The 14557-nt window shown below is 34.6% G+C and overlaps 1 annotated feature.

Moving 5' to 3' along the window:
• Positions 426 to 720: an enhancer, noted in NCBI's record as "tiled region #13283; K562 Activating DNase matched - State 12:CtcfO". NCBI's record gives its function as "activates a minimal TATA promoter and a strong SV40 promoter by Sharpr-MPRA in K562 cells {active_cell/tissue: K562}" and the evidence as "EXISTENCE:reporter gene assay evidence [ECO:0000049][PMID:27701403]".

Here is a 14557-nt window from a genome sequence, read left to right as displayed (position 1 = left end):
TGTTGTTGATTTTTTTTCCTGGCAAAAACAAAATGCTTAAATATTGCTTTCTAACAACCTTTTTAAAGATGCATAATTCAAATGAGACAATATAAACAAATTATATATAGTTTTGAAAATATTTGATAGTTTGCCTTCTTGAATGCTATTACTTGTATTATATCTTCTGCTATTCATCCATCAAGATCTCAGAGATGTTTGCAATTTAGCTATATCCAAAAGTGATTAGTGGCAGCTGCATTTTATAAAACCATTATTATTAAAAAGGCCTTGACAAATATAATTTTTTTTCTATTATTTTGATTCTACCTTTAATTTTTTCATAAAAATACTGCTCTTTGCAGAAGAGAAATGATAATGTTTCCTTAAAACAACGTGAACCATATCATAGAAAGCCAGAGAGTATATGGTTCCGACTATTTCAGTAAAAGACTCTGAGCTGAACAATTTTCTGTGTGTACAACGTTGCTGAAAGACCGAGCAGGCTATGACATCATTCACTAAGGGCATTGGTTTGGAAGAAAAAGAGCAATACTGACATCTAGCGTTCATGAGTTATAAGACAGGGAGGGTGTTTTACTTTAAAAACATGCATTCTAACGAAGAGCATGTATCACATTGAGGGAATAGGCAGAGACCCCCTTGTAGACAAGTAAAATAATCAGCGCCAATTCATGACACAACCTCTGAATCATCTAACAAAGTGTTTATATTCTTGAAAAACACAAGAGTTTGAAACAACTGTTTACTGCTGACAAAAAAGCAACTAGATGTCCATAGTCAGTTTATGTGGGCTCAGACTTTTGCACCCACCAAGTGAAGACAACTAGTACTGGGACAATAGAAAGAGAAGCTAAGAACATGGTAGAGATTGTGACATAAGCATTCATTTTAAATCCCTGGAGTGGTAGGCATCCGTGAGATGCCAACTGCTGAAGCTACTGAAGTTAAAATAGTACAACATGTGTTCTCATTGTTCGACTCCCACTTATGAGTGAGAACATGTGGCGTTTGGTTTTCTGTTCCTGTGTTAGTTTGCTGAGAATGATGGCTTCCAGATTCATGCAGGTACCTGCAAAGGACATGAACTCATTCTTTTTTATGTCTGCATAGTATTCCATGGTGTACATGTGCCACATTTTCTTATCCAGTCTATCGTCGATGGGCATTTGGGTTGGTTCCATGTCTTTGCTATTGTGAATAGCGCTGCAGTAAACATACAGAACACATGGACGCAGGGAGGGGAACATCACACACTTGGGCCTGTCGGGTGTTGGGGGCAAGGGGAGAGAGAGCATTAGGACAAATACCTAATACCTATAGGGCTAAAAACCTAGATGACAGGTTGATAGGCGCAGCAAACCACCATGGCACATGTATACCTATGTAACAAGCCTGCGTGTTCTGCACATGTATCCCAAACCTAAAGTAAAATAAAAAAAATAGTACAACAGCCCACAAATGCCAACTCTGAGGACTCATCTACTCACTTCAGCTAGCTGCAAACTCTATTCCCTCAAAGGATCAAATAATTCCACTGCCTTAAAAATAATACTTGCTATGGAAAAGACCTTAAGTGGAAATTTACCCTGCCTTCTAGGCATTATTCCACAGCAGCGCTTTCCTGCATACTCCAGAACTCTTCAATAGGCATTTGAATAACTTCGTCTGCTGTCACTATTCAGGAAAGGCATCAGAAAGAAGCTACTGGCCAGGTTATCGTTTAAATGAGGCCATGAGGAAGCATAGTCTGGATATACAGGGATTTCCATTTCACCCATTTTAAATTTTCCTAGAGACATCTACAGAAAATTAGTATGATTCAAGAACAACGTGTCTACATTTATTTTCTCTGGCTCTGGTTTTATTGAGGTATATACCTGCACTGGATATCATTAAGTGTGCCAGAGGGAAACTCGAGAACCAGAACTCTCCTTTCCTGCCCCCAAAACAGTCCTAAATCCCCATGTTTAGCTCTACTACCTTGGAAAGTTATACAGTCAAGTTTCCACCCTAACTGAGGCAGCTAGAAACAAAATGACAAATGAGAACTATGTACTGAAATCAAATACATACATGAAGTTGCTCTGTAGTAGGGAAAGTTGTATATGTTTTCTTAATCATTGTATTTTATTTACTTCTTCATAATGAACACAGGTAATTCTCAGATCTCACAGACGTTTCTCTTTTTTGAGTTTAGATGTGTCTTCCATGGTTACAATCTGATAATTAAACAGAATAACTATTATATTCTGAATCAGATTACATTTGGAAGGTGATCACCAATTGCTCACAAAAGTTCTATTAAAGAATTCCTCCTGTTTGGCGAGGCACAGAGGGCTCTGAATCAAAAGAACCACCTAACGATAGTCCTTGATGTATAGTGTGTCTCTACAAATATTACCTAATACATTTGCTCCATTTTTTAAAAACAAATATCTGGCACAAATATTGTTGTGAACAGATGCTAATAGTCATTATTTCAGAGACCTTCCCTTGTTATTAAAATATAAACAAACACAATGATGATGTGTTTTTAAGGGAAAGGGACACAAAAATAGGAAACTTTCAAGGGAAGTGAGTAAAAATCATAATTATGACCCTGACAATAGAAGAACAAGATGCTGCTGCTCTACCAATGAAGCCTTGGAAGAAGGTATTTATTGTCTTAATCAAAGACGGAGGTCTATCTAACTTATTCTTTCATAGAATAATGTAATGTAGTGAGGGACAGTATATAAGCACCTGGAACAATCAGCTAAAGATATAAGCAGCCTACTAGGCAAGAGACAGCTTGGGCAGGTCATCCTATACAGCACATTATCTTTTTCTTTTCTCTCTCTCTCTCTTTTATTTTTTTTTGACTTTTACAGGTTCTGTGTTGCCCAGGCTGGTCTTAAACTCCTGGCCTCAAGCAATCCTCCCACCTCAGCCTCGCAAAGTGTTGGGATTACAGCCATGAGCCACTGCACCCAGCCCCTAGCCCACATTTTAGGAGCAAGAAGATGTTGAGAAAATTTCAAAGATAGGGAAATCTCTCTCTCTCTCTCTCTCTTTCTCTCTCTCTCTCACACACACATACACACACATACACACACAAACACACTCCAAGTATAGAGTGCATTTGGCATTTGCAACCACCCCTTTGCAAATGTGTGTTAAGTAAGTTTAAAGTGGGGATGTAGGGAAGTAAATTCTTAAAAGTATGCAAATTGCAAAGGGCATAAAATCTTGAGATTAAAAATACCCAAAATGTTAAAATTAAGGTGAAATATGTTTTTAGGACTCAAGAGAAACATAACTTTAAAAACCTGCACTGAATTTACATTTATGTGCAATTCACAAGCAAACTCAGAGATGTTTTTAAAATGGAGCTTAAGGCAAGAAAAAGACATAGATTGAATTGTGTGTTCTTAAGTACAAAGTGCAAGTTTTCTCTGTAAAAATCCACTGAAACGTCTTTGCCTACCTCATTAAAATGAAACTAACCACAAAACACAAAATGAAGTATAATGGCTAAATCCTATATGCCAAAGTTTCTGTTTTGAAATTTGTGCTATCTGAGTACCTGAGAGCTGACAGAATTAAATAAGAAATTAATGAAGAGCTCAGGCTGAGTCTCCTTATTTATGCTGAACAATGTCTGGTACCTTTTCTGACAAAATTAACTACTTAATAGTATTTGATGACAAATACAAAGAAAATGGGCAATTCTATCTCTAAAGTAATAAATTCAGCAATAAACTTTTTTAAAAAAGCTTAAAGCCTTAAGAAATGAAATTTTATGTTCAAATAATAATGGAAATTGCCTATCGTAATTTTTATGCCTGGAAGTAAGAACAGCTCCACATTTCGTTTTCAATTTTAAATCAGACACCTACCTATTTTTATAACCTCCAGGAATACAAGGTTTTGAAAGAATGATAATATGTTAAGTAACAGCACTCTTACTCTGAGAGCAGCTAAAGGAGCAAGATGTAGATTTCCATGAGGATAGATAGCTTGTCAAGCAAATCCAAATGGTGTGTGAAATATTGCCAGTGATGAATGACATTTAGTGACAAGATCAAAGTTCAGTGCAAGTCATCGATGTCTCTGATAGAGGCCATTTAGTTCACTCAACCCAGGTGTTCGTTAAGTAGATAGGACTTGCAGTTTTCAAAGTCTTTGTTTATAGTACATTCAGATAATTATTTGTGCACATTAGTTAGCATTGATTTTACGTATTTTACTTTCATGTAGTAAATCTGATGGAAGAAAAATCTAAAACAGTGATAGTATACTTAGTATATTCTCATGTGTGAATAATAACTAAGCATTTATTGAATTTTTGCTATGGGATATCATTTTTCCACAAGCTTTGTTCACATAATTTAATTTAATTCTCGCAACAAGCCTAGGAGCTAGTTTTATTAACATTATTTTTATTTTCCTGAGGGCACACTGAAGTACTGAAGATTCAAACAAAATGTTCAAGGTTGTGCAACTAACAAGCCCAGAGGTGGGATTTGAGCATAATCCAGGAGAGCCAGAGCTTGTAACACCTTTGTCACATTGTTCCTTACTTGGAAACAATTTTGTGTAAGCCTAGTGTCCAGTCACTTACTATAAATTGTAAATCATATCAGTGAAACAGAAAAAGGGCAGTGTGTCTGTTTTTTATTCTAGATTTCAAAGAGAGTTGAAGTATAAACTTGGAAAAAAAAAAGTAAGGAAATTTCTTTGGCTTTTATATCGAAAAATTACTGTAAGGAAAAGCTAAATTACTTACATATCTAAGTATATTGTATAACTCTTGTTTCACATCCAACACTTCTACTTGCTAGCCATGGAAAAAGACGGGGCTGGATTTTAATACTGGATCTCAGCAGTAATTATATTGATTTAGTTAATTATACTTCAGTTTTTCATTTATAAAATGGGGATAATAAAACCTACCATGAGGTATTGTTACAGATCTATGCTATAAATGAAAAACACGAAGTATGCTGTGCAGCACATACTACATACCCAACAAATAGTAGTTCTTAATTATGGTGCTGCTGACTTGGTACTCATGGCACTAACAATTTTTTTGAGAACAGTAATATATAATTCTATAATTAGTTCAATCAAAACAGAAATACGCAGTAGAAGAATGAACAGAGTAGACAAAATTAGAAAGTGATAATATTTCAGCCCCTTGAATAAATTAGCATATTCATACAAATGTCATATTTTATACTTATTTGGGTAAAATTAATATAGATGTATATATTTATTAGGTACTTCATCTCACTCTTATTTTGTTCTTTAGTTTTTTTCTTCATTTTACCCTACCATCTTTTATCCCCAAAATTAAATAGAAAAATAGAATCTATATACTTTTAAGACAGTAATATTTGGGGCAATATTTCGACATAATATTTCCTTTGTACATAGACATTTATGTTTTTCAGGATATAATGTATATAATATAGCACTGTAAGTGATTAAGATCCTCAGGCCGTTTTGTTTGATCTTTTATCAAAAAATGAAAAAGAAATCACATGTATAGCAACGTTTTTCATAATCACCAAGAACTAGAAATCATCATTCACCAACAGATGAATGGATAAAAGATGGAAGACTGCTTAGCAATAGAAAGCAATGAACTATTAATAAATGCAACAATATGTAGTCTATCAATCTCAAAGGCATTATGCTGAGTGAAAGAAGCTATGCTCAAAAAGCTACTGTGTGATTTCATTCCTTCTGCAAAAGGCAAAACCATATGGGTGCAAAACAAATCAATGTTTGCCAGATGTTGAACAGAGGAGGAGATCAACTGCAAAGGGACGTGATGAAACTTTTGGGGGGAATGGAACAATATGTTGTTGTGGTTTCCAAGGCTAGCACAAAAATGAAAACATGGAACTCCTTGTTCATACAGCAGAAAAAAATATACGATTAAAGTATTAGGTTGGTGCAAAAGTAATTGCGGTTTTTGTCATTAGGAATAATTAGGGAAAAAATTAGGAAGATGAAATAGATGCATCTTTATAAAGATTCCTAAGTTGTCTCTTTTTTTGGGGATGATCTTAATAATCTTTGATAGCTACCTTATTGTTTGCTATACTAAGTTGTTCCAGTTTCATCTTGTCCATTTCCCGCCTAGGTCTCCAACTCAAATCAGCTATTTCTCCAAGAATTCTTGGTGTCTTTTAACAATAAATAGAATTTAAATTTCACATTTTGCATACCAAGGATCCCATTTACACATCATTTCTAGGTCATTGGAATGGACAGAGTTAGAAAATAACTTAAGAAATCATAGTCTAATTTCCAATTTAAGTCAGCGCTATAACATGCAGAAGTAACAGTAGATATACTATTAACATTTTCTACTACTTAACATTTTCTGTATGGCATTGATAACTTCTTTTTTCACACCAGGGGTCGTTGTTTTTAAGGGCAAAGAAAATGACAGAACTAGAGCATTCCATGTAGACCAATTTGCTTTAAAATGCAATAAATGTAGAACAGCCAGAATAACAATTCTCATGCTAACAAGATTCATTTAGATTAATAAAAATGATTATTTTTGCCCATGCCATCCTTTTTAGCATTTATTCTGTATCCCCATTGTTACATATATTGTTATTATGTCCCATAATCTGTCCCTTTCTCCCTCATTCATTCTTAATTTTGTAAGTAACTACATAGTCAAGCAATGCTAACCACCAGTCGTTTTTTGATGACTCTATTGTCATTATGGTTGTGTGAAGCTCATTTTTTAGTAGATTCCTTTAAAAAATCCCATTAAAATATATTGAGTTACTGCATGTTAAGAGTTACTGCATGTCAATAACACTTTCTTTTTTAGATGAGAGTCAGTTTTGCTGGATATAAAATTGTTTGCTTCCAATTTTTTTCCTTGAGACTCTTAAATATATTACTCCATTTTTTTCTATCATAAAATATTACTGTTGAACAGTCTGATGCTAAATTGCATTTTCCTTATAAATTACATATTCTTTTTACTCAGATACCTTAAGAATCTTTTGGCTTTTTCTTTAAAGTCCAGTAATTTTACTAGATTAAGTGCTGGTATTAGTCTTCCCATTTGCTCTTCTAATATGTTTTGTTAAATCTTTTCCTTTATTTTAGGACGAATTTTGTTTATTATATAATGAACATTTATCGTATTTTGTTGTTCTTATTGTTCTCTTACTTTGGTTTTCTTCCTTAAATATTGACTTTCTCTGTATCTTGAACCTTCTTCAGCTATTTTCAATATTTGCCACTTCTTCTGAAATCCTTTTTAGCATTTTCTTTGAAGTTCTCCTTTTTATCTACTTAAAGACTTTTTTTGCTCTTTTATCTCTTTTATTGAAGTCTTAATTTTTAAAATATTTTTTCTCTTGTTTCTAATTCTTTCGTAGATTTTACCATTTCATTTCAGAGATTTTGCAATTCTGATTTGTGATGTTCTTTCATAATTTATATCATTTTAAATATCTCAGCTTTTCTGAATTGTTTTGAGAGATTGTCTTTTTGAAGGTTGTACTTTGTGTAAGAAGGTGATTCTTCTCTTTAATATTTTTAATATATTAACATTAATTGGATTTTGTTCTTTTTAAAATATTTCCTGTTGTTGATTTTTATGCAAATTTCTCTTTCTGAATTTTAGAGTGAAGTTTAAGGCAGCTTTTCTAACTTCACAAAGCTTCCTCCTCTGTTATATGTAAGTAGTGTTAAAAAACATAAAGTCTTGCCTTCTGAGATTCCCTCACTTTGTAATCTATTCTTACTTTTATCTGGACCTTCTTCTTCGTTTATCCTGCTGCTGTTACACTCTGCTCAGTGAGGAGGCCTCACTCTGAAATAAATGTCTAGTGGTTCACTTTCCCAAGTTCATGGCAGCTAGACTGCTCCAGTGACTTTAGCTCTTACCAAAAAACCTGCATTTACCCACTAGCACAGTTGGCAAATTCCCACCTGGTTTCATCAGCTCTTCTAAAATTTGCACCACTTTTATTTCAGTGAAAATCCATTAGAAATTCGGGGATTCTCCTTTTCTCAGGCCTGTCAGATTCTCTTTGCTTTCTCCAGAGCAGATGATAAAAACATAGGTCGTGTGGTTGATGGTACATTTCCCCTCCCATTAGTAGTTTTGGAATGTCTTGTTTCTAGCTTTATGGTAAATATTCTCCATATGCATTTGTGTTTTCACCTCTAGTCTCTCTGTGTGTTTTAACATAAGGATTCAGAAAGATCAAAAATTATGCTGCCAGTGTCACTGCACTCTTAGCCATTTCTCTCAGATTTGCTTTTAACAGTGTTAATTCGTTTTTATGCACCAAATCCTTTTTGGTCTGTTTAATTTTACTTCATCTGAGTGTTTATGCAGAGGTTAAAGAATGTTTGACAGACTTTGCACTTAGGCAGTTTACTAAGATATTGAATTCTGCATAACTGTGGGAGAGCTCAGATTTTATCTCCGCTAAACATTTTTACTTTTTAAATTTCTGGTTGTGAATTTACTACATTATGTGACTTGTATTAACATTGGAGTGGTCATCATTAAATATGTAAATTCTCCTTGCTTCCCTGTACTCCCTTCCTATGATTTTGAATGCAATTGTTGATATCAGAAAAAGTCAAGCCCCTTTCAGACATTTTTTTTTACTCTTTTATTGGATCATCTTCCAAGTTTCAGCAAGCTTAGTCTTTAAAAGAAAGCATTATGTGGCTTAAACATGACTGACATTTTTCATTTTCATATTTATCTGTCATAGTAAAACTGTCATTGTAAAGCATAAAATATAAAAAGCAAAGAAAGATAAAGAAATAAAGAAGGACAATGCAGGTTGGCATTAAAATGAAAAGATAAAGGAAGAGAAGAAGAACAATTTAAGAATAAGATTTTAAAATTTTGATTTTATTAGTAAGATATGGATGGCAACCTGATAATCGTTAATGCTGTTTTTGCACAAACAGTACTATTCCCTGAAAAAGATACATCCATAAATATTTAATAGTTGCTTATGGTGAAGTATAGCTTATTAGGCCAGCTGATAAATTTAGGACGAAATTTCCTCAAGGGGAAAACTATCCCTAATGTGATATTTCATTTATGCTGACCTAGAAAAGCTCTAAAAACTCAGTGGGGTTTCTAATTTGTGCAGACATCTGTGATGGCTCTCATATGTTTTCTTTATTACTTTTTGATTTTCACATCATGTACTTTTTTTGGCTCTTCTTGTTTTCACTCACTTCCTACTAAATGCATAGTGTGTGGATCCTTAAGAGCATAAGATCTAGAAAAAAGTTTACAATTTAGACAACTACTAAATTTTCTTACGCTTGTACTAACAAGATCTCCAAAGTAAAACTCTAAAGCCTCAGAGATTTAGGGGATTGGAAAGTTTTGAGCGCTATTGGCACCTGCCTTTATTTTTTTTTGAGATGGAGTCTCGCTCTGTTGCCCATGCTGGGGTGCAGTGGTGTGATCTCAGCTCACTGCAACCTCCACCTCCCAGGTTCAAGCGATTCTTCCATCTCAGCCTCCCGAGTAGCTGGCACTGCAGGTGTGCACCACCACACCCGGTTAATTTTTGTATTTTTAGTAGAGACGGGGTTTCACCATATTGGCCAGGCCGGTCTCGAACTCCTGACCTCATGATCTGCCTACCTCGGCCTCCCAAAGTGCTGGGATTACAGGGGTGAGCCACTGCACCTGGCCGGCACCTGCATTTATTACAAGCATCCATTTGCAAATCTTTTACCTCTTCTACTTGTCTGTGATCATTTCCTCTTTTTTCAGTAAGTAGTACCTTTGTGCATTCCCCTAAGATTTACTATGCATCCCAACTGCTTCATTGATTCCTTGCAAAATTCTATGTGTTTTACTTTTTATTATAACTTCTCTTACTGGGAGAAGCATGAATGCATCTGATTTCCAGGAGAGATAAGCAGTGTACAAATTATAAGACAAATTGACAAAAAGCTGAAGACTTCCAAGTGTTAAGTAAAATCCAAATTTGGAAACATGTTTAAGTGAAATTCTCCAGATCTCTACATAATTCAGGGTTATTCAATTATCTTTTTGTTTTATGGTTTACATAGTTGGATTTGTTTGGGTAAATTAGACCCAGGTTTGTTTATAGTTCTAAGTTAATAATGTTTTGCTTTTCTTATTTAAATTTTTCCAGATGTATCAAAATAAATGCACAGTATTTTGGTAGAGCTAAGATATTCCTGTTTTTCCTATTATCTCATTCAATTAGAAGTGTCAGGCCAGCTAATACTTTAAATGTTCGAGATGCTAGATCATGATTATCCCACATCTACCAACTGCTTGAGAGGTCAAATTGAGAAGGAGATGATAATTAGAAAATACTTCTGAAAATAATATTAGAATAACCTCACCACAAGTTATAAAGCTGTTTGCCACAGACACTGATGGAAGACTTCCATTTCTTCCATAACCACTAGGATTCTTCTGTCTATGTAATGGTGACCCAATTTCCTCACATATCTGACATTTCCACTGAACCCTGTTGACTCTGAGTTGGCTGTCAGCAAAATGTTCAACATCCTCAAGGTACTCTGAATATTCACTTTATTGTACTGCTCTATCAGCAATCAAACTACTCTCTGAAGGCATAACTTACCCTGCAGTACTGTCAAGATTGGACACATCATTTTCCTCTGATAATCCTTTTAACTAGAGACTGAAAGCGGGTAATAGCCAACTTATTGAACAATCACTTTGTATTAGGCTTAACTCACTTAATCCCTAAAATTACCCTATGAGATAGAAAATGTCCTTCTCAATTTACCAATGAGGAAAGTGATATCCTGAGAATTTAAGTAACTTACCCAAGATCACCACGTTTACTGAGTGACATAAGTTAATTTGATTCCAAGCTCATCCTTGAAAAAAATCTCTGTGATTTAATATCTCCCAAAGGCAGTAGGTAACCTCATTAAACTTTACTGCATATTCCAGAACATTTCTTTTCCTTGAAAAAGCATAACCCCTTGAAGTTCAAATTACCAGATAATATCACTGACATTTCCTCTGTGTTAAAGAGGTCAACTACTGACCTCCTTGTTATCCTCCCTCATTTACTGCAGTACTAGATTATAGGATTTCCACAAATAGTCATGTCATCATTCTGGGTGGCTTTTATATCTGTTCAAAAGGTAACTATCGAACTCACTCAACAGCCATTCTGTAGTTTTGTCATTTTTAATTACTGCATGGCTCCCACTCTCTGGTCACGACCTCCCCAATCTTCCTAGCTAACTTACTCTAGTAGTTAGAGCATTTCCCTGATACTATGAGCATCTCTAATCAATTAGCCCAACCTTTCTGATTCCTCACCACCTGAATCTCTAACTTTAGCACTAGCCAGGATCCCTACTACATTTTCCTAGTCAATTCACCCTTTCATTCTTCAGGATGATCATTTCATTGTTACCCTCTCCATTTAAATTTTCAACATCCACTCTTCTTCCTCTTTTCAATTCCATGATTTTGCTTCTTATTTCACTGGGAAAATAAAATCACTCCAAAGAGATTTTCTCATCTTCTCACCACCACATCTATGAACCAGTCAGCACAAATGCATTTATATGCACGTATTCTCACTTCCCACATGTTAAAAAAAATAGATTATACATCCACCCTACTCTAATCTAGAGCCAACTCCTTTGCTTATGCACAGGACCCTTCTCTCTCCTCTTAGCCACTACATTAAGGCCTCTGGCCCCTCCAGTCTGATTCACTGAATATGCTTTTATAAGTTCCACTGATTTCTATTTTACCAGTTCCAATGGTCAACTTTTAGTCCCCATATTTTGATTCTACCTCTTTGTAGCCCTGGGCAGAGTAAACCAATCCCTCTTTGTTAAAGCACTTCACTTCCCAAACACTCCACTCTGCCATTTTCCCCTTTTCTCAAGCCTTCCCAGTCTCCTTTTTTTGGATTTTAATGTAAACAGGCATATTATGAAGAAAGGTGGAAGAATCAGAAAGTATTTCAAAAATCTTATAAATAATACATGCTCACATTTGGTTCACTGCTTAGCAAGACATTTATTTTCAAAAGGCTGAAGCTAGAGATGAGCATTTTTGCTAAAATGCCATATATGCCAAAATGTCATATGTATGAAAATGAGGGAACGTTTCCCCATCGTTAGTGTTTAATTTACACATCACTCATGAACCAATTTATATATAAATGTTCCAAAAGATTTCATTGAACTGTTGTCATACATATAATCAGGTTTCGAAATGTGTGGAGGAAATACAAAATGCCATTACTCTTTATACAACCATAGAAAATTATGTCATTTCATAAACTTAACCTTCCAAGAATTTAAGTTAAAGTCTGTGGGAAATATGCAGTGTCTGTATGTGAGAAAGGCCTAGAAGAAAAGCAAAAGAGATGGAGAGTGCTTATTTTAAGATATTTCCATCTTAGTTGAAAGGTACCTCCCTGTTGAAAAATTCATTTAAAATACTCTGTGTTTCTTTCTGAGATCCATTACTAAAGATTCATTTCAAATACACGGATAAAAACCCATGTTCCTAAGGCCGTGCCATTTCCATTTAAGAAAGTGTTTGCTAGTAAATTGGCATGTAACATTTAAAAATTATATTTGATTTGAACAGTTATGAACACAAAAGACATTCTTCCTTTTCCCCTCATCTTCTTTGAACTTGGCAGATTTCTTCTCATGGGAGCTGGCCTCACACTGAAAAACCCTGGTAGGGTGGAGTAAGGTTATGTCAGCAGCTTTGTTTGCAGCCCACACACTGACACAGTGTGGCTGTGTATTAAATCCAACTTTAATAACTCATTCCCCCAGAGACTCATGAGCCAAACCAACAGAGGAGGAGCACATATTCATGTTGCAAATAGCTTTAGGCAGATTGCTCTTGAGTAAAGCATCAAGGTCAGCTTGTCATTGCTAACTTTGTTTTCTATTTTCCAGGAAAAATTCACTGACATACTAATTTCTTTTTAAATTACCTAAAAGGCTGTCCAACCGTTGAGATCAGAATTGTACCTGCTCAAATTCTCTTGTAAGAGCTGGTACAAGGCCACGGTGTTTTCCATTTTCATTTAGAACTTAAAAATTAGAGGCAACTACTGCATCCAACTGTAAAGACAGATGCATTGTCTACACTGACCTATTTGAACTGATATGACATCTGCCTGGCAACTGCAGCATTCTTTATTTTATGCCATGAATATCCTTTGCTCCATCCTCTCTTCTCCCCTACAAACATCCCCATGCAGGTTCAGCTAATTAGATTAGCACCATTGTTCCAGGAACCTTTAAGCTTTACATCCATCTATAAAATTCTATTAAATCGTTTCTATAAAATAGTTTAATCCATCTAGTGAACAGAGGGTAGGTCATTTTAGATGTGTCTGTGTATCTATGTCTTGTATCTTATACCACCGGATATATCTCTTGACATTGGAAGAAATGAGGTTCCCCTCCAGCATATCTTCTTTAATGTATATTATGCTTGCTTTTCCCAATCTTGAGTATTTAAAATGGAAGAACCAATGTAAAAATTAATAACTGTATTTATCAGGGAGAACCTATACTCCAATCAGTTAATCTTCAATCAATTATTTTTCCTAAACAAGTTCGCTAAAAATTTTTTTAATGTAATTTCTTTAACACTAATACATTTTATACAAGAGGGACATTTCTTTAAGTTAAATAGCATATTGTATAAAAACAAACTCAGTATTTTTAAAGGTTCCATTTTTTATACCATCTGGTACTTTTAGCAAAGTATTTTAATGCAATTTTTAAAACTATTTTGTGAAACACTAAAATACTATGAGATGGTAAGAGATTCTAAGAAGTTCTCCATGATTAAACAATATGGGAAAATTGCATGTCCCGTACGTTCCCTACAGATTCACAATGCATGTAAGTAAAATAAATGCTCTGATTTGATCTACAGAAAGGAAACAAATTAACTAGTGGTTAAGCAATTGTCTGGAGGACTTTTTCTTAGAAAACCCATTATTGAAATACAATTTGGCCAACACTCCAATAAGATAGGAATATTCGCTGTATATTTCTTTTGTTCTTATTAAATAAATAATAGAATAATCAATTTCTAATAACCTAGCAGTAACTTGAGAGAGCTTAAAGGAAGCTATTTCTACAGACTCCAATAATCAATTTTTAAAAATCTCGAAAGTATTTAAAAAGACCTTTTAGAAGTAGATTAGTCATTAGATAACTGACTAATCCTTCCACCAGTAAACACCATCTTGTATAAAATAGAAAAAATTAAGAAAAGATGTTCCCAAAGATCATTATATGATTACCTCTTACTCGTTTCTTTTACATACCAAATAATTTTAGTTTCTTTAACAATTCATGCATATACCAATCATTTAGTACAATGTATTGGACATAAAGTCACTACAATGGTATTTGTTTTGTTTTTTTGTTTGTTTGTTTGTTTTTGAGATGGAGTCTCACTCTGTCACCCAGGCTGGAGTGCAGTGGCTGGATCTTGGCTCACTGCAAGCTCCCCCTCCCAGGT

Source organism: Homo sapiens, chromosome 4, assembly GCF_000001405.40.
Source record: "Homo sapiens chromosome 4, GRCh38.p14 Primary Assembly".
Lineage (NCBI taxonomy): Eukaryota > Metazoa > Chordata > Mammalia > Primates > Hominidae > Homo > Homo sapiens.
The sequence above is the reverse complement of the archived record's forward strand: the minus strand, read 5'-3'. Positions and strand labels throughout refer to the sequence as shown.